At 48.2% G+C, this 19,462-nt stretch overlaps 1 protein-coding gene and 1 long non-coding RNA gene across 5 annotated transcripts in view, besides 3 other annotated features; both read left to right on the top strand.

Moving 5' to 3' along the window:
• ZNF71 (zinc finger protein 71) overlaps nt 1-3,942 on the top strand; it is a 29,185-nt gene extending 25,243 nt beyond the window's left edge. For all 3 annotated transcript variants that reach the window (NM_001370215.1, NM_021216.5, NM_001370214.1), the window contains one exon: nt 724-3,942. In NM_001370215.1, the coding sequence (NP_001357144.1) occupies nt 724-2,213 (1,490 nt within the window). In that variant the 3' untranslated portion in view covers nt 2,214-3,942. The remainder of the gene's footprint in view (nt 1-723) is intronic.
• The window catches only part of ZNF71-SMIM17 (ZNF71-SMIM17 readthrough (NMD candidate)), a 61,946-nt gene that overhangs the window by 25,243 nt on the left and 17,241 nt on the right, over nt 1-19,462 (top strand). The window lies entirely within an intron of this gene.
• Nucleotides 17,457-17,751: a silencer, noted in NCBI's record as "tiled region #15209; HepG2 Repressive DNase unmatched - State 10:DNaseD, and K562 Repressive non-DNase unmatched - State 10:DNaseD". NCBI's record gives its function as "represses a minimal TATA promoter and a strong SV40 promoter by Sharpr-MPRA in HepG2 and K562 cells {active_cell/tissue: HepG2 | K562}" and the evidence as "EXISTENCE:reporter gene assay evidence [ECO:0000049][PMID:27701403]".
• Nucleotides 17,457-17,760: a biological region, named in NCBI's record as "Sharpr-MPRA regulatory region 15209".
• Nucleotides 17,549-17,760: a silencer, noted in NCBI's record as "fragment chr19:57149461-57149672 (GRCh37/hg19 assembly coordinates)". NCBI's record gives its function as "represses an EF-1alpha promoter that drives an FKBP-Casp9 reporter gene in an ReSE screen in HepG2 liver carcinoma cells {active_cell/tissue: HepG2}" and the evidence as "EXISTENCE:reporter gene assay evidence [ECO:0000049][PMID:32094911]".

Genomic DNA, 19,462 nt, shown 5'->3' on the forward strand with positions numbered 1-19,462 from the left:
TTTAAGAGACAGGGTCTCACCCTGTCACCCATGCTGGAGTGCAGTGACGTGATCATAGCTCACTGCAACCTCGAATTCCTGGGCTCAAGTGATCCTCCCACCTCAGCCTCTCAAGTAGCTGGGACAATAGGCATGTGCCACCATGCCTGGCTAATTTTTAAAAAAAAATTTAGTAGAGGCGGGGGTGGGGGGTCTCACTATGTTGCCCAGGCTGGTCTCAAGCAATCCTTGCCTCAGCCTCCCAAAGTGTTGGGATTACAGGCATGAGCCACTGTGCCTGGCCATCTTATTATTTCTGATAAAAACTGTTGCTTGAGGAGCACGACTGGTTGTGGATCTGCAGGATGAAGTGAGGAGGCCCTGCAAGTCAGTAGCCGGCTGCAGTCATTCCTACTCAGGTTTGCAGAGCCTGCCCTTTGCTCCCTGCAAGCCCAGCTCACTACTGCAGTTTCTCTCCAGGAGTGCCTGTCATCCCTCTTCTGAAGGGACATTTGCTCTCCCTGTTCACCTCCTGTGTTGACTCTGCTTCATAAACCACATTGGCCTCAGTTCCATGCCTCCCTCCTCCCTCCCTCTCTGATCCAAGGTTCTTCTTTGCTAACTCGCTCTGTGCCTTGGGCCTCATTGGGGTCGGTTTCATTTGCTCCTTCCTGCTGTGGAGCTTCCTCACTCCCAGCATCTTTAACTACATGTATTTGCATCTTCTGTTTTTGTTTTTTTCAGACTGGGAGACTAGACCTGAAATGAAAGAGTTGGATCCAAAGAATGACATTTCGGAAGACAAGCTCTCCGTTGTTGGGGAGGCCACGGGGGGACCCACGAGGAATGGTGCCAGGGGTCCTGGCTCAGAAGGAGTGTGGGAACCAGGCAGCTGGCCAGAGAGGCCGCGGGGAGATGCAGGTGCAGAGTGGGAGCCATTGGGAATTCCCCAGGGGAACAAACTCTTAGGGGGCTCAGTACCCGCATGTCATGAACTGAAGGCATTTGCCAACCAAGGCTGTGTCCTGGTCCCACCACGGCTGGACGACCCCACAGAAAAGGGGGCCTGTCCACCCGTAAGGCGTGGCAAGAACTTCTCCAGCACTTCAGACCTCAGTAAGCCCCCCATGCCCTGCGAGGAGAAGAAAACCTACGACTGCAGCGAGTGTGGCAAGGCCTTTAGCCGAAGCTCGTCCCTGATAAAGCACCAAAGGATCCACACGGGAGAAAAGCCGTTTGAGTGTGACACCTGTGGGAAGCACTTCATCGAGCGCTCGTCCCTCACCATCCACCAGCGGGTGCACACGGGCGAGAAGCCCTATGCCTGCGGGGACTGCGGCAAGGCCTTCAGCCAGCGCATGAACCTCACTGTGCACCAGCGCACGCACACGGGCGAGAAGCCGTATGTGTGCGACGTGTGTGGCAAGGCCTTCCGGAAGACTTCCTCTCTCACCCAGCACGAGCGGATCCACACGGGGGAGAAGCCCTACGCGTGCGGGGACTGCGGCAAGGCCTTCAGCCAGAACATGCACCTCATCGTGCACCAGCGCACGCACACCGGGGAGAAGCCGTACGTGTGCCCCGAGTGCGGGCGAGCCTTCAGCCAGAACATGCACCTGACCGAGCACCAGCGCACGCACACCGGGGAGAAGCCGTACGCCTGCAAGGAGTGCGGCAAGGCCTTCAACAAGAGCTCCTCGCTCACCCTGCACCAGAGGAACCACACCGGCGAGAAGCCCTACGTGTGCGGCGAGTGCGGCAAGGCCTTCAGCCAGAGCTCCTACCTCATCCAGCACCAGCGCTTCCACATCGGCGTGAAGCCGTTCGAGTGCAGCGAGTGCGGCAAGGCCTTCAGCAAGAACTCCTCGCTCACGCAGCACCAGCGCATCCACACCGGCGAGAAGCCCTACGAGTGCTACATCTGCAAGAAGCACTTCACGGGGCGCTCGTCCCTCATCGTGCACCAGATCGTGCACACCGGGGAGAAGCCCTACGTGTGCGGCGAGTGCGGCAAGGCCTTCAGCCAGAGCGCCTACCTCATCGAGCACCAGCGGATCCACACCGGCGAGAAGCCGTACAGGTGCGGCCAGTGCGGGAAGTCCTTCATCAAGAACTCCTCCCTCACTGTGCACCAGCGGATCCACACGGGCGAGAAGCCCTACCGATGCGGCGAGTGCGGGAAGACCTTCAGCCGCAACACGAACCTGACGCGCCACCTGCGGATTCACACCTGAGCGCCTCTGTGCAGGGCTCTCACTGGCGGTGCCCAGGACGGACGCCAGATGGCTGCGCGCTTTGTCAGCAGTGCTGTGAGAAGTTCTCCCCTGGGGTGGGGACTCGGGGTCAGGGGAGCTCAGGAATGTGGGGTTGTGGAGGGGCTGGCTGATCACACATGCCCCCTCCTTACTGAGCCTCAGAAAGCAAGCCCCTCGGTGTCTGACGTATCTGGGGACACTTCAAGGTTCACTGTAGCTGAGCCATGGCCGCTGGTAACAGACATCAGGGTTCCAGACTAGCCCTCTTGAGTAACTGTCCTAGAGCTGGGACAGGTCACGCCTGCCTCCACATCTCTGTTTCTTCAGCGGGAAAGTGGAGCTGGTGGAGGGGAGGGAGGAGACATCTCCCTCTTTGTCAGATACATCCTGGAGTCCAGATGCAGCTTGTCACCATCTGCATTTTCTCCGTGGGTTGGGAGCGTGAGGGCCTTCCTATCCCTCCACCCACCGTTTCCCTGCAGTGCACGCTGGCAGCCACCAAGCTAGGAAGTGGCAGGAGTTTGCCGGTTGTTTGTGAGGGGAAAAATTTTTTTTTCAGAGTTAGCAAATAACAGTAACTACTGCTTTGAATGCCAAAGTTTCTTAGAGTGGTCTGTTACGTTTTTTAAAAATAAAACTTTTAATTAAGGGAGACTATGTTATTTTAAACAGTCTTCTGTTTTGGCCAGTTGTCTGGTCAAAATCGGCTTCAGTGATTGTGGGAGGGGCAAGAAGGAAAAGAAACAGCAGCAGGTTTGATATTCAGAAAGAAATATGCATGGATTCAATAAGTATATACATCTGAGCACAGATTATTTTTATAGTGATTTTTGCAGCTAAATGTGAAGGCAACTGTCTTAAGTCCCTTCCTGCTGCTGTAACAAAAGACCTTAGACTGGGTAATTTATAAACAATAGAAATTTGTCACTCATGGTTCTGGATGCTGGGAAGTCCAAGATCAAGGCTCTGGCAGATTTGGTGTCTGATGGGGTATGTTCTTCATAGGTAGTGCTTGTGTCTTGATGTGTGTCTTCACGTGGTTGTAAACGGCAGACTTCCTCAGGCCCCTTATAAGGGTGCTAATCCCAGTCACAAGGGCCCTGACCTCATGACCTCCCAAAGGTCCTCCCTCTTCATACTGTTACATTGGGGATCAAGTTTCCAATATGTGAATACAGGGAAGCACCAACAGACCATATCAGTAACTTCGAGTGAGTTTCCTAAGGCCGACTGAAGCTCTGTTTACACATAAGAGTGTTCCCCAAAGTGCACTTTCTCTGGGGCCTTTTAGGCCATACTTTTAATTTTGTTATTTGATACTACTGGTTGCTAATGTTCTGGCATTTCCAGTTGTTCCACACTCCCTGACACTGGTGTACACAAATAAATAATACAGAAAAAAAATTATATCAGCAAGCACATTCTGCAAATAAGAAAAACAGCCACTCGGGCACGTATAAACAAGGTGGACCGTTTTTCAAATTCTGGCAGTCAAGTGGGCCTCAGGGTGGGTTTGATTCAGGCTCTCATCATTGGAGCCATAGCTGTGGTTCTCTGTGATGCTCTGGCTCTCCCTTCATACTTCTTAACATCATCCTCAGGCTGGCTTCCCACGTGGGATTGTGGTGGTTTCCAGCAGCGAGTCTTGATCAGACATTGCTTTAGTTGCATCTGTTGTGGGAATAAATGAGAATATGTATGCACTGCAGAGAATGGAGTGTTAAAACAGTCAACAAATGTTAGCTAATATGTACACAAGATTTTACTACTCTTTAGCAGCAAAATGGAGGGGAAGACCTTCTAAGGCCCTTTGGAGAGATGAAATGGCTCATTTAACCCTCACAAGATCCTCGAGGTAGGGATTCATGTGCATGTCGTATAGATAAGGAATCTGAGGTTCAGTGAGGCAAGGTAAGCTTCCTGAGGGCACACAACATGGAAGTGGAGGGGACAGGGTGTGAGCTGGGGTCCACCTGGGCTCCGAGGTCCGTGCTCCTTGCCTACACTGGACTACTTCTAGAGATGGACATATTGAATTTCTCAGGACTTGACTCCTGGCCTTGGTTTCCTGGACTCCCCAGTGTGTGAAGCAGAGATGGGATCGAGGCTGCACCACCACCATCCCCCTCTCCCATCCAGAGAACCAGCCGGGCCACCTCTCAGGTCCCTCCTGTTTCTTTTCTCTGCAACCCAAGCTGATGTGGAGGGCATTGAGGCTCCTCTGGGGGGATGCTGTGGTACCAGGTGGGTCTCACATCCCTGGTCTCCCGCCTCCTGGGCAAGCTCCCCACTCAGGGCTCCACGTTTCCCCAAGAGGAACCCTGAGGTGGCTGGAATAATGGCCACATTGACGGAGTCACTTGTCCAACTCTGAGGGGGCGCTCTCATCACCCCCACTCTACAGATGGGGAAACAGGCTCGCAGAGGTTCAGGCACCTGCCCAAGGTCACACAGCTGCTGGATTCAAACCCATTCTGACTCCAGAAGCTGGACTGCAGTCCACGGCACCACTCCACCCACCAGTTCCTCAGTCAGGTACTTACTGAAGCCAAATTAAATTTACCCCCCTGAAAATGTGGGTTTGGCAGGGATCAAGCAGGTCAGGAACCTGCTTTTTAACAAGTCTTCTATCCCATACATCTGTCCAAGGCACTATTTGGGGTTATGTGCTGGCCTTCGAGTTCACCCTCACTGGGCCCTGTGTCCCTGTGTCCCTGTGTCCCCAGGCCTGACCCAAGCCTGGCCTTGAGGTAGAGGTCATGGGTGCTGGGTGGGGTCTGAATGACCCCTTTATCACTTGGAGTAAATGCCAAACTCCTCACAAACCCCTGTGTGACGCAGCCTCTCCCAGCTCCCGTCCCGCTCCCCCTGCTCACTCTGCTTCAGCCACACTGTGCTTTCGTTCAGTCCCAGCGCTGGCCCAGCCCACTCCCACCGCAGGGGCCTCTCCCTTCCTGGCCCAGCACCCACGCTGAGCTTCCTCAGGTCCCTGATGCTCAGTTTCACGTGTCGGCCTGGCTGGGCTCCAGTGCCCAGCAGGCCCATCGCAGTGAGTCCCGGTGGTGCTGAGAAGACACTTTATAGATGTGGATGTCACCCATGTCAGCTGACTTTAAGTAAACGATTATTATCTGCAATGTGTGTGGGCCTCATCTAATCAGTTGAAGGCCTTAAGAGCAAAACCAGTTTCTTGGAGAGTAAAAAACTCTGCCTCAGGATTACAGTGCCAACTCCGGCCTGAGTTTCCAGCCTACCAGCCTACCTTATGGATTTGGGACTTGCCAGCTCCCACAGTAGCATGACCCGGTTATTTAAATTAAATCTATTTATATATAAAAGTATACATATGCCATATGTATAACAAGAAATATGAGGTATATAAAAGGATATGTATAAGATATATATAGGGTAGGGCATGGTGACCCACACCTGTAATCCCAGCACTTTGGGAGGCCAAGGTGGGAGGATTACTTGAGACCAGGAGTTTGAGACCAGCCTAGGCAACATAGCAAGACCTCATCTTTACAAAACGTTAGAAAAATTAGCCAGGTGTGGTGGCGTGTGCCTGTGGTCCCAGCTACTCAAGAGACGGAGGTGGGAGGATTGCCCGAGTCCAGGAATTAGAGGTTGCAGTGAGGTATGATCATGCCATTGCACTCCAGCCTGGGTGACAAGGGAAGACTCTCTCTTAAAAAAAAAAAAAGGTCAGTCAGTCAAGGTGGCTCATGCCTGTAATTCCAGCACTTTGGTAGGCCGAGGCAGGCAGATCACCTGAGGTCAGGAGTTTGAGACCAGCGTGGCCAACATGGTGAAACCCCATCTCTACTAAAAATACAAAATTAGCCGGGCATGGTGGCATGTGTCTGTAATCTCAGCTGCTTGGGAGACTGAGACAGGAGAATCACTTGAACCCAGGAGACGGAGGTTGCAGTGAGCTGAGATCATGCCACTGCACTCCAGCCTGGCCGATGGTATGAGACTCTGTCTCAAAAAAAAAAAATCTATATGAGATATATAATGTATATATAATAAATGCATAATATATATAATAGCATATATATGATATATCTATATGGGATATATATGATCTAAATAAGGCAATCTATATGATAGGACATATATAACTATATTAAGTTGTATCACTACTGCCTCTCTGGAGAACCCTAACTGATAACAAGGCCCTCCCTGATCGCCCTTCTTCCCCTGCTTCGTATTCCCCATCACACGCACTGCAGTCTGTATTGATACTTGTTTTCTTTCTTTACCATCCATCTCCATCACGGGCATTCAGGTAGAGATCTGGATGTTGCTGGTTCTGCTCACTGTTGTTTTCCCCAGCACTTGGCACGGCACAGGCACAGGCAGATAGTAGGTGCTCAGTAAATGTCCGTTGAATGAAAGAGTTAATGGTAGGTGCTCAATAAATGCTTCCCGGCTGAATCACGAATAAGCAAGTGAGTTTTCTGAGGCAGCAGCCCATTCCACCCTGGACCTAACATAGTCCCTGGAGACCTGGATCTGACTTGGATTCCTCAGCCTTTTGTCCACTGCCCCTGTCTGATTTAAAATGTAGGTTTTATTCTTATTCTGAGAAGGTGAGGCCCATAGGTCAGGAGACACCAGGGATTGAAAAGAGAGTTGCTACAGTTCCTGAGAGGCGAGGGCAGTGCCAGGCCACACAGGGAAGCCCAGGGCAGGTCAGGAGGTGGAGGGGCTGGGGGAAGACGGGGGCAGGAGCTTCTCTGTCGCTTCCACAGCAAGGAGCAGGATTGGCTTCTCTGAGTAATTTAGCGGTTCTGGGGCACAGGGGCTGCCCTTGTTGTCTGGTTCTCAGCCCTGGATGAGGGCAGGTGCACAGAGCCCCTGAGTGTGGGAGCCCAGTTGGGGAGGTGCTGGGTGTGGGCTCTGGATTGGGTGGTTTGCTTGTGAAAGGCACGCTCTCAAGGGGATTCTTTGCCGTCTCTAGGAATCACCTGGATCTGGGAGTGACAGTCCCTCCAAGGTCGGCAAGGCTTCAAAATGTCAAAGCATCAGAAAATAAAAGGCATTGTTCATACAATCTTTGCTCTAGCCAGAGATAATCCCCTGCATTTGGCCTTAGCATGGGCAGCCGGAGAAGGCTCTGGGCCCAGATCTTGGCTGAGGGGCAGCCTCAGGAGACCCAGGCTGCAGAGGGAAGGCCCTTCTGCTCCTCCCTGCCTGGACACCATCTTATTGTAGGAATCCCAGTCAGTACCCGGGAACCCAGTGCGCCTGCCCCAGAGCATGATGAAGGGGCCTCCTGGGTGGACTGATGCCCCTGGCAGCCGCAGATTCCTGGGCTGAGAATGGTCCAACTGAGAGGCTGGGCCTCAGCTCACAGCCTCAGATATGGGGGAGAGGAGGAAGGTCTTCCTGCAGAATCCCAGTGTGGTGGCAGTTTCCAAATTACATGAGATGAGCTAGGGATCCTCTCCAAGATCACAGACTTTTCTATGACCCCTGACAGGCCAGGCGTAGGGCCATGAACATGAGTGATTTGAGTCAAGCAGGTGCACTATCCAACACACACCTTACAGCCCTAATAATATTTTATTATACATACTATTATTTATTAATAGAAAGTTTATATTTGTAATAGAGTCTTAAATATTTATATAAAAGAGCTACATACATTAACAGGGCTTACATCATTAATATAGGGTAATACTATTCTCACTTTCAATTGAGGAAACAGGCTCAGAACACTAATAATTAGTTCGAGATGATGGAGCTGAAAAGCCAGACTTTATATGCAATGTTTCTGATTTCTAAATGGCAAAAATTTACATATTTGTTAAGAAACGCTATTTTGGGTCAGGCGTGGTGATGTGTGCCTGTCCTCCCAGCCACTCTGGAGGCCAAGGTGGGAGGATTACTTGAGGCCAGAAGTTGGAGGCTGCAGTGAGCCATGATTGTACCACTGCACTCCAGTCGGGGCAGGAGAGTGAAAGGCTGTCTCAAAACAAACAAAAAATATATGCTCTTTGGGCCTGGACTGGACAGGCCACACAAAATACCCCTGGGGAAGAAGGAGATTTGACTCCTGGCTTGCAGCCTGTGTAGGGCCACCAAGTGATCAGGTGGGGTCTGGGGTCAGGGAATCCTGGGCCCAGCTGCTAGTTCCATCACTTACAAGCTGGTGCTTGCTGAGCTCACTTGGTACCTGGGGATGGTCCTAGCATCTTATGCACAGGGGTTAGGCTCCAGGTGAGGTTGCAGATCTTGTGCTGGTTGGCATGGACTGGATGCATCAACAAGCCCCAGAGACCAGGAGATATCCCACACTGGAAAGTATTCCTCATGCATCAAGTCTGATTCTGCTGCTCTCCCTCAGCAGGAGGATCTACTCCATGGGGTGACTCAGGGATCCAAGCTCCCTCCACCGTAATTTCTCAAGTAGACATCTAGGCAGCAGACAGGGGAGGGCAAAGCCATTTCTGGACACATAGCTCTCCTCTCCTTCCACTGGTGAGCAGTGTTCCTTGCACCCTCCTGCACACAAAGGGTCATGGGAAGTGCAGTCTCTGGTAGGGGGTCAGCCAATCCCCAGGACCAACTCCACACCCTGGAAGAAAGGTGCAATGGTCTGAATTTGTGTGTCTCCCCAAAATTTACATGTTGAAACCCTAACCCCTAAGGTGATGGTATTAAGAGATAGGGCCTTTGGGAGGTGATGAGGTCATGAGGGTGGGGCCTCATCCATAGGATTAGTGCCCTTATGAAAGGGACCCCAGAGAGCTCCCTCACTCCTTCCTCCATGTGTGGGCACAGCAAGAGGGCTCCCTCTATGAACTGGGAATGGGCCTTCACCACACACTGACTCTGCTGGCACCTTGACCTCAGCCTTACCAGGCTCCAGAACTGTGAGCAATGAATGTCTGTTGTGTATAAGCCACCCAGTCTGTGATATTGTTACAGCAGCCCAAAAAGAAAACAAGAGTTTGAGCGGAGGCTGACCCCCCTGCTACCCAAAGCCCAGGGTGGTACCAGCACATGTAGACATCAGGTACAGGTATAAAAGGTTAAATTCCCAGTGTTTGGGGGGGCATTTCTGAGCCATGACAGTAACAGAATAAATTGCCACCCCTGCCTGGTCCCAGCGATGCTCACCCCTTGCTGGGATGATTGCAGAGGTCTCCCCGCCTCACTCTTGCTCCATCCTCCCTGCCCCGAGCCTGTTTGCCACGCAGAAGCCCTTCACGTCCCTCCTCTGACCATAACCCTCCATGGCCAAATTATATTCAAAGACATACAGACTGTGTTGGAATAAATTATATTGAAAGACATACAGACTGTGCCTATTTGAACCAGATGAAGTTCTAAGGGCTGGAGAAACAGCTATGAACAAGACTTACAAAACCCCTGCCCTTGTGGGGTTGATGTTCTTCTGGGAAGTGACAATTTTTTTTAAAGCCGTGGAGAAAAAAATCTCAGAAAGAGGAGGGTACTATGCAGAGGGTCGGGGCAGGTTCCAGATTTAAGAAGGTGGAGTGGGGAGACCCGCTGAGGAGGAGACAGGAAAGCAGAAACTCAGAGGCAGGACAAGGCGGGTGAGGATGTGGGGGAAAGTGTTTCAGGAAGAAGGAACAGCCAGGGCAGAGGCCTGGGGTTTTGCCCACGCCTGAGGCAGAGTGACAAGAGGACAGAGAACAGATGGGGGCTGGATCAGGAGGGGCGCTGGCCGGCGGGGTGAAGACTGCAGCTTGATGGGTGAGGTAGGAGTCATGGAGGGTTATGGGCAGAGGAGGGACATGATGGGCTTCTGTGTGGAGAACAGGCTGGGGGCAGGGAGAATGGAGCAGGGGTGAAGCGGGGAGACCCCTGCAATTGTCCCAGTGAGGGGTGAGCATGGCTGGGACCAGGCAGGGGTGGCGAGAACGTGATGGATTCTGGGTAGGTTTTGAAGGTAAATCCGTGATACAATGGACTTTGGGGACTCGGGGGGAAGCGTGGGATGGGGAGGCGAGGTTTAGATAAAAGACAACATACATGGTGCAGTGTGATGGGTGCACCAGAATCTCACAAATCACCACTAAAGAACTTATTCGTGTAACCAAATTCCACCTGTACCCCAATAACTTATGGAAAAATAAAATAATAATAATAAAAAGAAAGTTAAGCCAACAGGATTTATGATCCAACACAGCATCCGACTCCACTGTATAAATCTTGGGTCTCCAATAGGAAAGCACAGCTCCGAAGGGGTCTGGGCTGGTGAGCGTTGCAGGCTGAATTGTGCCCCCCACCAAATTGATGTCCTAACCCCAGTACTTCCCAATACAGTGACTGTATTGGGAGATGGGGCCTTTAACCAGGTGGTCAAGGTCAAATGAGGTCACAAGAGCCAGCCCTAATCCAATCTGCTGGTGTAATTACAAGGAGATTAGGACTCAGACATGTACAGAGGGTCGACCATCCACAAGCCAAGGAGGGAGGCCTCCGGGAAACCAACCCTGCCAACAAATGATGGTGTGTCCCTTCGGGGCTAAACCCCAAGAGGCCTCTGTGCTCTCTCTTACTCTCAGGTCCCTGCTCAGCCATGTGCACTGGCTTGAGCTAGCTTGCTGGAGGTTGACAGGCCCATGGGGGAAGTCATCCTGGTCAAAGGTATTCTAGGCCAGCCAGCACAACCCCCAGCCCACAGTCCAAGCTGTGGACAGATACAGGAGCAAGTCCAGCCAAGATCAGCCAAATTCAGATCAGCAGAACTGTCTAGCTGGTTCATAACTTCATGAACTATAATAAATAATGGTTGTTTCTGTTTTAAGCTTCTAAATGTTGCCATGGTTGGTTATACAGCAATAACTAACTGATAGACCTTCCCAGAGCAATGTCTTTATTGGTACTCCCACCACCAATGTATAAGAACACTTATCTCAGTTACTCCCTGACCCATCCTGAGGAATAACTGCAAACTTCTGATTTTTTAGATCTTCAAGGGTCCAGGGTGGGTGTGTAGAGACTGCTTATTGTTCCCCAACATCTGGTCTCTCCTTCTTCCATAGTACTAGAACCCTTACATTTTAGCTGCATTTCCCAGTCTCCCTTGCTGCTAGGTGTGGCCATGTGACTAGGTTCCAACCAATGAGGTATAAGTAGCAACATCATATTGCCACTTCCAGGAGATGGACTACTGCATTCAGATTCTGGTTTTGCCACTTCTCTGTTGAGGAACTTTGGAAAGGTGACTTAGTTTCTCTGGTGCATCAGTTTCCTCATCTGTAGAGTGGGGATAACGATAGTATCTGCCTTATAGTGTTGTCAAGAAGTGAAGTAACACAATGATGCATTTAGAACATGCTTATGGCTGAATGTGGTGGCTAACAGCCAGATGTGGTGGCTAACGCTTGCAATCCGAGCGCTTTGGGAGGCCAAGGTGGGCAGATCACTTGAGGTCAGGAGCTTGAGACCAGCCTGGGCAACATGGTGAAACCCTGTTTCTACTAAAAATACAAAAATTAGCTGGGTGTGCTGGTGCACACCTGTAGTCCCTGCTGCTCAGGAGGCTGAGGCATGAGAATCACTTGAACCCAGAAGATAAAGGTTGCAGTGAGCCGATATTGTGCCACTGCAATCCAGCCTAAGCAGCAGAGTGAGACTCTGTCTCAAAAAAAAAAAAAAAAAAAAAAAAGAACAGTACTTACACATGGGAAGTTTTGTTATGTGTTGTTATCATTATCAGTATAATAATACTTTCATTTTATTTTTTGAGAATGGGTCTTGCTGTATCCCAAGGCTGGAGTGCAATGGCGTGATCATGGCTCACTGCAGCCTCAACCTTCTGGGCTCAAGTGATCCTCCCACCTCAGCCTCCTCAGTAGGTGAGACTACAGGTGTGTGCCACCACATCTGGCTATTTTTTTTTAGAGTTTTTTGTAGAGATGGGATCTCTCTATGTTTCTGAGGCTGGTCTCAAACTCCTGGGCTCAAGCAATCCTCCCACCTCAGCCTCCCAAAGCATTGGGGTAACAGGTGTTAGCCACCACACCCAGCCAATAATACTTTTATTATCAGCTCCTAAGGTTGATGTAAGGTTTAAATATGACCAAGCTCCATGTCTATTATCAGAACAAGTTTTCCTGATGCTTATTTGTCTACCAAGACCAGGAAGAAATATTAGGAATTATATCCATCCATCTACTCCCTCCTCCCCAGCACCACCCCATGAGGCTCAGTAGATTTTCCATTTCCTTCGTGATACGTACTCATTTGCCCAATAAATCTTTTTCAAAGCATGAAAATTCATAGGGGGATCTTTTTGGCCCAAATTTCTTGTAAGAGATGCCTACAGGGAGGTAAATGTTCATTTATAGCTTATCACCTGTTTTACAGAGAGGTTGAGAGGTGGAAAGAAATGGAGGGAAGGAAGAGGTAGGAGTGAAGTTGGCATTTTTCATTGTTGATCCAATGTAGCACACAGACGTTGGTGTGAGCAGATGCATGTGGAAAGGAGGAGGAGAAATTTGGGTCAGGAAGGAACCTGAGCTATTTTTTTCTCTCAGTGGTGGGTGAGTAGCTGTTTTAAGGAAAAAGAAAGTGGAAAAAAGGAAATAAGAGAGTGAATGCCTAATATATAAATACTCAGAACTTCTGCACCCTCTGATAAGTAGGAACCCCAAGAAACAAGAAGCTTTGGGGGTGAACGGGGTGTCGTTCATTCAATAAACATCTGAGCACCTATTCTGTGCCAGGCACTGTTGCAGGGTCTGGGAACCGAGCAATGAACAAACCAAAGTCTTTTACCATATGGAACCACCACTCCTAATTTCTGGGCATGATCAGAGAATGGGATGAAATGGAGAGTGAAGGGGAGGCCGCCTCAACTTCAGTGGTCAGAGAGGGCCACTCTAAGAAGGTAACATTTGAGCAGAGACCCACTTGGCAAAGAGAAGACAGTTACATAGGTATCTAAGGAAGGCATTCTCCTTTCATCAAAGTGTTCACTGATGCTTTGCTTAGAAGAATTGACAACACCCAAGAGTCCATCCTTAGAAGACTGGCTGAATGTATCAGGATTCAACTGGGTGAGAAATGAGTTGAATATTTGAATATGGTAGGAGTTCTGAATTACAGAATTAAATGAAAACAAACAGAACAATCGATGACAGCATATATGTGTACTCTCATTTGTGTTTTCTTTAAGTGAGGGGGCTTCAGGGGCTTTCACTCAGCAGCTATTTACCTACTTTCACAGAAACATTTCAATAAGTTAGCAACCTATATAGAAGTAGTAGTGCTCTGCTAATTATCAGTTGTGTATATAAAGCGTATCAGTCAGTTTTGCTGTGTAACAAACCACTCCAAAACTTAGTGACTTAAAATAACAAGCATTATTAGCTCATGAATGTGGCCACAGGGGCTAAGTTAAACTGGATAGTTCTGGCCTCAGCTGACTTCATGTGTTCAACTGTGGTCAGCTGTGGGCTGCCTGGTCCAGAATAACCTTGTCCGAGATGACTCGCCTCTCCTCCTTGGGCATCTCATCCTCCAGCAAGCCAGCTCAAGCCAGTGCACATGACTGAGCAGGGATTTGAGAGGAAAAGAGAGCATAGAATTCTTTTGAGGTGTGTGTGTGTATGCATTGATCCTCAGCCTCACTTCTCCCATACATAGAATGAACCTTGTTATTATTACTCATTCCATAATAACAATGCCAGATGCCTATCAGCCGCAAACTATGAGATATGCACTGTTGTTATTGGATAAGTTGTGATAAGTAAATTTTTTTTTTTTTGAGACAGAGTTTTGCTGTTGATGCCCAGGCTGGAGTGCAATGGCACAATCTTGGCTCACTGCAACCTCTGTCTCCCGGGTTCAAGAGATTCTCCTGCCTCAGCCTCCCAAGTAGCTGGAATTACAGGCACCCACCACCATGCCAGCTTTTTTTTGTGTGTGTGTGTTTAGTAGAGACGGGGTTTTGCCATGTTGGCCAGGCTGCTCTCGAACTTCTGACCTTGGCTGATCCGCCCACCTCGGCCTCCCAAAGTGTTGGGATTACAGGCTTGAGCCACCGTGCCCGGCCAGTAAATAATATTTTATTGATGCTGAGTTGTTAGTTATTTACATTTTAATATTTCTCACATTGAAATATGTCTTACAATTGTTCATATCTTTGGCTTTTCTTCTTTTTTCCTTACAAAGTTCTTAACTTCTTTATTTTATAAGCAATACATCTGAAAGGAAAATCATCACATTCATGGCATATCATAGTCAGGAAGAAAAATTAGGTTGCATCCTGAGGTTGACCAAACATACCAGATTCACCCTGTTAAGTCCTGGTCCCCAAATAAAACATTGAGCACTTCCTGTAAGCCGGACTCCTTAGCAAAAAAAAAAAAAAAAAAAAAAAAAAAAAAATATATATATATATATATATAAAATGATTACCACATCCAGAAAGTTTGTGAACTCTCTTCAAATATCAGCATGGCAAAACTCACATATATATATATATAAAATATATATAATATATATTATATATTATATAAATAATATATATTATATAATATATAACATAAATATATATATAATATAATATAAATATAAATATCTATCTATCTATCTATCTGAGTTTTGCCATGCTGAGATTTGAAGAGAGTTCACAAACTTTCTGGATGTGGTAATCATTTAATATTATTACCGCTTTTTTTTTTTATCATGAAAGAACAAATGTAATGTTGGTAAGCCTGGTAATCTTGTGATTTTTTTTCTTTTAAATACCTTTTGTGTTTTTAACTTGAGAAGACTTTATAGACATATCTATGTGCCCACAGAAAATATCGACATTGTTTTATGTGTTGCTGGGTTTTCACGTCATTCATGTCAGACTGCATCTGTAGATTTGCAACTTGCTTCCCCCATCCTCCCATGAAATGATGTGTCTTGGAGACCTTTTCATATCCATCCACGATGATCTATTTTGTTCTGTAAAATGAGTATAATAACAACACTCAACCAACATGATCTTGGTGAGGACACATTAAGCTCTCAATAAATGTTACTTGATTTATAATGATTCTGTCTTTGGAATCATTTTTCTAGCGAGACTGCAGAAAAGCCCTGTGGGCTGGAAGTGGCTAGGAGAACCTGTTTCTCTAAGCAGACTTGACAGCTCGCTGCCCTTGTATGATTTACCCCATACACCCCCAAGTGATTGTATCCTTCTAGGTTTTAAATAACAAGGTGAGTTTTCCCATTTCAATCATACTTCTTCCCCTTGCAATCCCACCTTAAATAAATGGAAAATTTTTTAGTAGTAGTGAAACAAGAAGGTCTTTGGGGACATATCGCTCTGGGTTTAATCCTGGATATGCCATTTACAAGCTGACCTGCCCCAGGGTGTCCGAGGCTCCCAAATGATCACAGTTTGGAGATGGCCACGTACACTAGATACATCCACACAATGTGATTAATTCCCTGCAGTTGCCAAAAAGCATGAAATAGATTCCTCTCCTTGTGGGATGGTCCCTACTGATAGGATTCCCTGCTTGGTGCCACAGAACCCTGCCTTATGGGCCACAGCAGATGTACCAGAGGATAGAACAACAGGTCACTGGCCCATGAAGTGGTCTTATGGCAAAGTCTTACTCAACAGGGGTCTGTGATCTTGGATGTCTCGATCTGGCAGATCATAGACTTCATCCTGCCAACTGACGAGCACAGTTCAGTTCAGGTCACGTCACTCATTTTCCTTTTAATTTAATGAATTACCATCATTAAAACATTGAGATAGTTTACATTTACAAACACCGTTTTTCATTCATTCGACTGTTTCAAAACAACATTCATGGGCCATCTGGTATGTGCCAAGACACGTTCCAGGTTCTGGAGGCTCAGAGGTAAATTAGAAACACACAGCCCCTACCATCATGGGTCTGTACCATTTTAGAAACAAGGCAGACAGTAAGCAAAAAGAAATATTCATAAAGTAATGAGCTCCAGCTTATTTTGAGAAATTGAAATATCAAAACTCACTGGGCCAGCAACTCCATTAGAGGACATAATAGAAAGATAGTGAAGAGCCATATCACAGTGGTTCTAGGTAAACAAAGAGCTCAAAGTCAGAGCCTCAAAGCTCTCTGGCCCTTGAAAAGTTGTGAATATCATCCTATTAGGCATACAGGATATGCTTCAGGCATACTGGGTGTCACCTGCAATGTCCAGCACGTAGTGAGTGCTTTATGAATGTCTGTCTCTTGAGTGATTGTGGAAGCTGTGCCTTTTCTGGTGACCAGATCATTGGGAAGAACACTTATTCATCCATTCAACAATTCCAGAGAGATTTGATTTTGTGAAGGACTCACTCTTGCAGAGGGTGTACAATTCAAAACCCACATAATTCAAGACTAACCCTGACAAAAAGATGGTGGGTGTGTCTATTCACCAGCTAAAGCGACACTAAAATAACAGTCACAGTTTACAATGTATGTGATTGGTTGTATTTGGAAGCATGAGAAACTGTAGCCATGCTGCATTTCTGTAAATCTACAATAACATCCCTCTTGTGACCCCAGCTTGCAACATAAAAAATAGCGCTTTGCCGGCTGGGCGCCGTGGCTTACGCCTATAATCCCAGCACTTTGGGAGGCCGAGGCGGGCGCATCACGAGGTCAGGAGATCGAGAACATCCTGGCTAAGACGGTGAAAACCCGTCTTTACTAAAAATACAAAAAAGAAAAAAAAAATTAGCCGGGCGTGGTGGCGGGTGCCTGTAGTCCCAGCTACTCGGGAGGCTAAGGAAGGAGAATGGCGTGAACCCGCGAGGCGGAGTTTGCAGTGAGCCGAGATCGCGCCACTGCACTCCAGCCTGGGCGACTGAGCGAGACTCCATCTCAAAAAAAAAAAAAAAAAAAAAAAAAAAAAAAAAAAAACCTAGGGCTTTGCCAATAACTCGCATATATTTATATAGCCCTCTCCTCCCCACTCCACTGCTTCTCCCAACCCAGAATAACCAACAGCCTGAATCCGGGGCATACCTTTCTCTGAATTTCCTTTCTGTACTTTCCCCCTCTTCAGAGCTTTTTGGGAAACTTCATGTTAATAATTTCAATCCGGTTCAGCCAGGCCCTGCTGTCCTAAGAACAAAAGCTGTCACTTAAAAATGACTTTGCAGTTGTTGCCCTCATCTGTTTTCATCCCATGATCTCTACAGCCCAGAGATCTTTGTTTCCAGGAAACAGCAGGGCTTTCCCCAGGCGGATGGGTTCTTTGAAGGAGGGGGAAAAAAAAAAGTCTTCTCCAGCTATTCTGTGTAGAGCGTCAGCACCACCGAACGCTAATGCTTGAATGGTTTAGAACTGCGGACAGCTCACGCCAGACAGATTCAGCACCACGGACAGCCCCCAAGGCAGCTCGTGATGTGAATGGTTCAGCACCGCAGACAGCTCAAGCCTCGCCGGACAGCCCTGCTGGAAGTGGTTCAGCACCACGGATAGCCCCGCTAATATCCATCAGAACCCCGGGCGGCTCAGGCCAGAATGGTTCAGCACCACAGGCAGCCCCCCAGGCTCGCAGGACAGTTCCCCCCAGCCTCGCAGGGTAGCCTGTGCTGGGACTCTTCCGGTATCACGAAGAGCCCTGCTGGACTGGTTCTGCAACATGGATAGGAACAAGTGTCATTTCGCCATCACCTGTGCTAGATGTAGACGCTCTTCTGAGCTGATTCCTGAGCCCCCTCTGCAACTTTCACCTCTGGAGACTCTGATGGGGCTATCTGGGTAATCCAGGCTCTTCTGGAGTTGACCTCAGAAATGCAGGCATCCAACAGTTAATATGCCCAAAAGGGAACTCTGGATTTTCCCCACAAAATAAACTTGATCTCACTTAGGGCACTTCAGGGCACTCAGTTGCTCAGGCCCAAAGCCCAGAAGTCTCCCTTGATTCGTCTCTTTCTGTCACACCTCGCACTCCACCCATTAGTGAGTCCTCTCAGCTCCACCTGTAGAGCAAATCCTGAATCTACCCACTGCTCTCCATCCCCATTGCCACTGCCTTACTCCAGGCCACCGTCGCTTCTCACCTGGTTTACTGCAAGAGCCTCCTAAGTGATCCTCCTACTTTACCGCCCCTTCTAGTGCATTCCCCACACAGCAGTTTCAGTGAGCCTTGGAAAATGTAAACCAGAGTCTATCATACCATTCCTCAGTACCTGCCACTATCTCCAATACACCTATAATAAAATTCAAAGATCTTCCTGTGGCTTTCATGACTCTGGATGCCTATCTTTTTTTTTTCCTTTTGAGATGGAGTCTCACTCTGTCGCCCAGGCTGGGTACAATGGCGTAATCTCGGCTGCAACCTCCGCCTCCCGGGTTCAAGCGATTCCCCTTCCTCAGGCTCCTGAATAGCTGGGACTACAGGCGCGTGCCACCACGCCCATCTAATTTTTGTATTTTTGGTAGAGACGGGGTTTCACCATGTCGGTCAGGATGGTCTTGATCTCTTGACCTCGTGATCTGCCCACCTCAACCTCCCAAAGTGCTGGGATTACAGGAGTGAGCCACCGCGCCCGGGCGCCTCTCTATCTTACATCCCATGACACTCTCGCTTTCCTGGTCACACTGGCCACACCACCTCCCTGTTGGTTCCTCAGGGCCTTTGCCTCTGGTGTGCTCTGTCCATGGTGCTGAACTCATTCAAGTGTGGATTCAACTATAACTGTCTCCTTTCCACCATTTGGTCCTTAGCTCAAAATATGACCTTTTCTAAAAGGCCTTCCCTGACCATCCCCACCTAAAGTGGCTTCAAAGTTACTATCACAGTGATTTATTTCACAGAATTTAGTACTTCACAGAATTTAGCACAAACTATATTTCATTTTGCATTTATTGGTTTACTTGACACTGTCTGTTTTCATCATTAGAATGTAAGCTCCATTAGGCCACAGACATCAGTTGCCTTAGCTACCCGGAACAGCATCTTCACATGGCAGTTGTTTAATAAATATTAGTTGTATGAGTGAATGAATGAATGAGTGGATGAATTCTCAGCCCTGCATTAATTTTTCTTTTCCTGGCTAGTCATGGAGCCCCAAAAAGATGTCAACAGCACTTACCTCCTGGTAAAATTGTGGTCCAGGGTTTGTGTTGGGGTCCCCAAGATCATCCGCAGGTTTGATGATTTCCTGGGAGGAGGACTCAAGAGAGACTCAGCACATAGTCATACTCACGGCTATGATTTACTACAGTGAAAGTATACAAAGCACAATC

This window comes from Homo sapiens, chromosome 19 (assembly GCF_000001405.40).
Source record: "Homo sapiens chromosome 19, GRCh38.p14 Primary Assembly".
Lineage (NCBI taxonomy): Eukaryota > Metazoa > Chordata > Mammalia > Primates > Hominidae > Homo > Homo sapiens.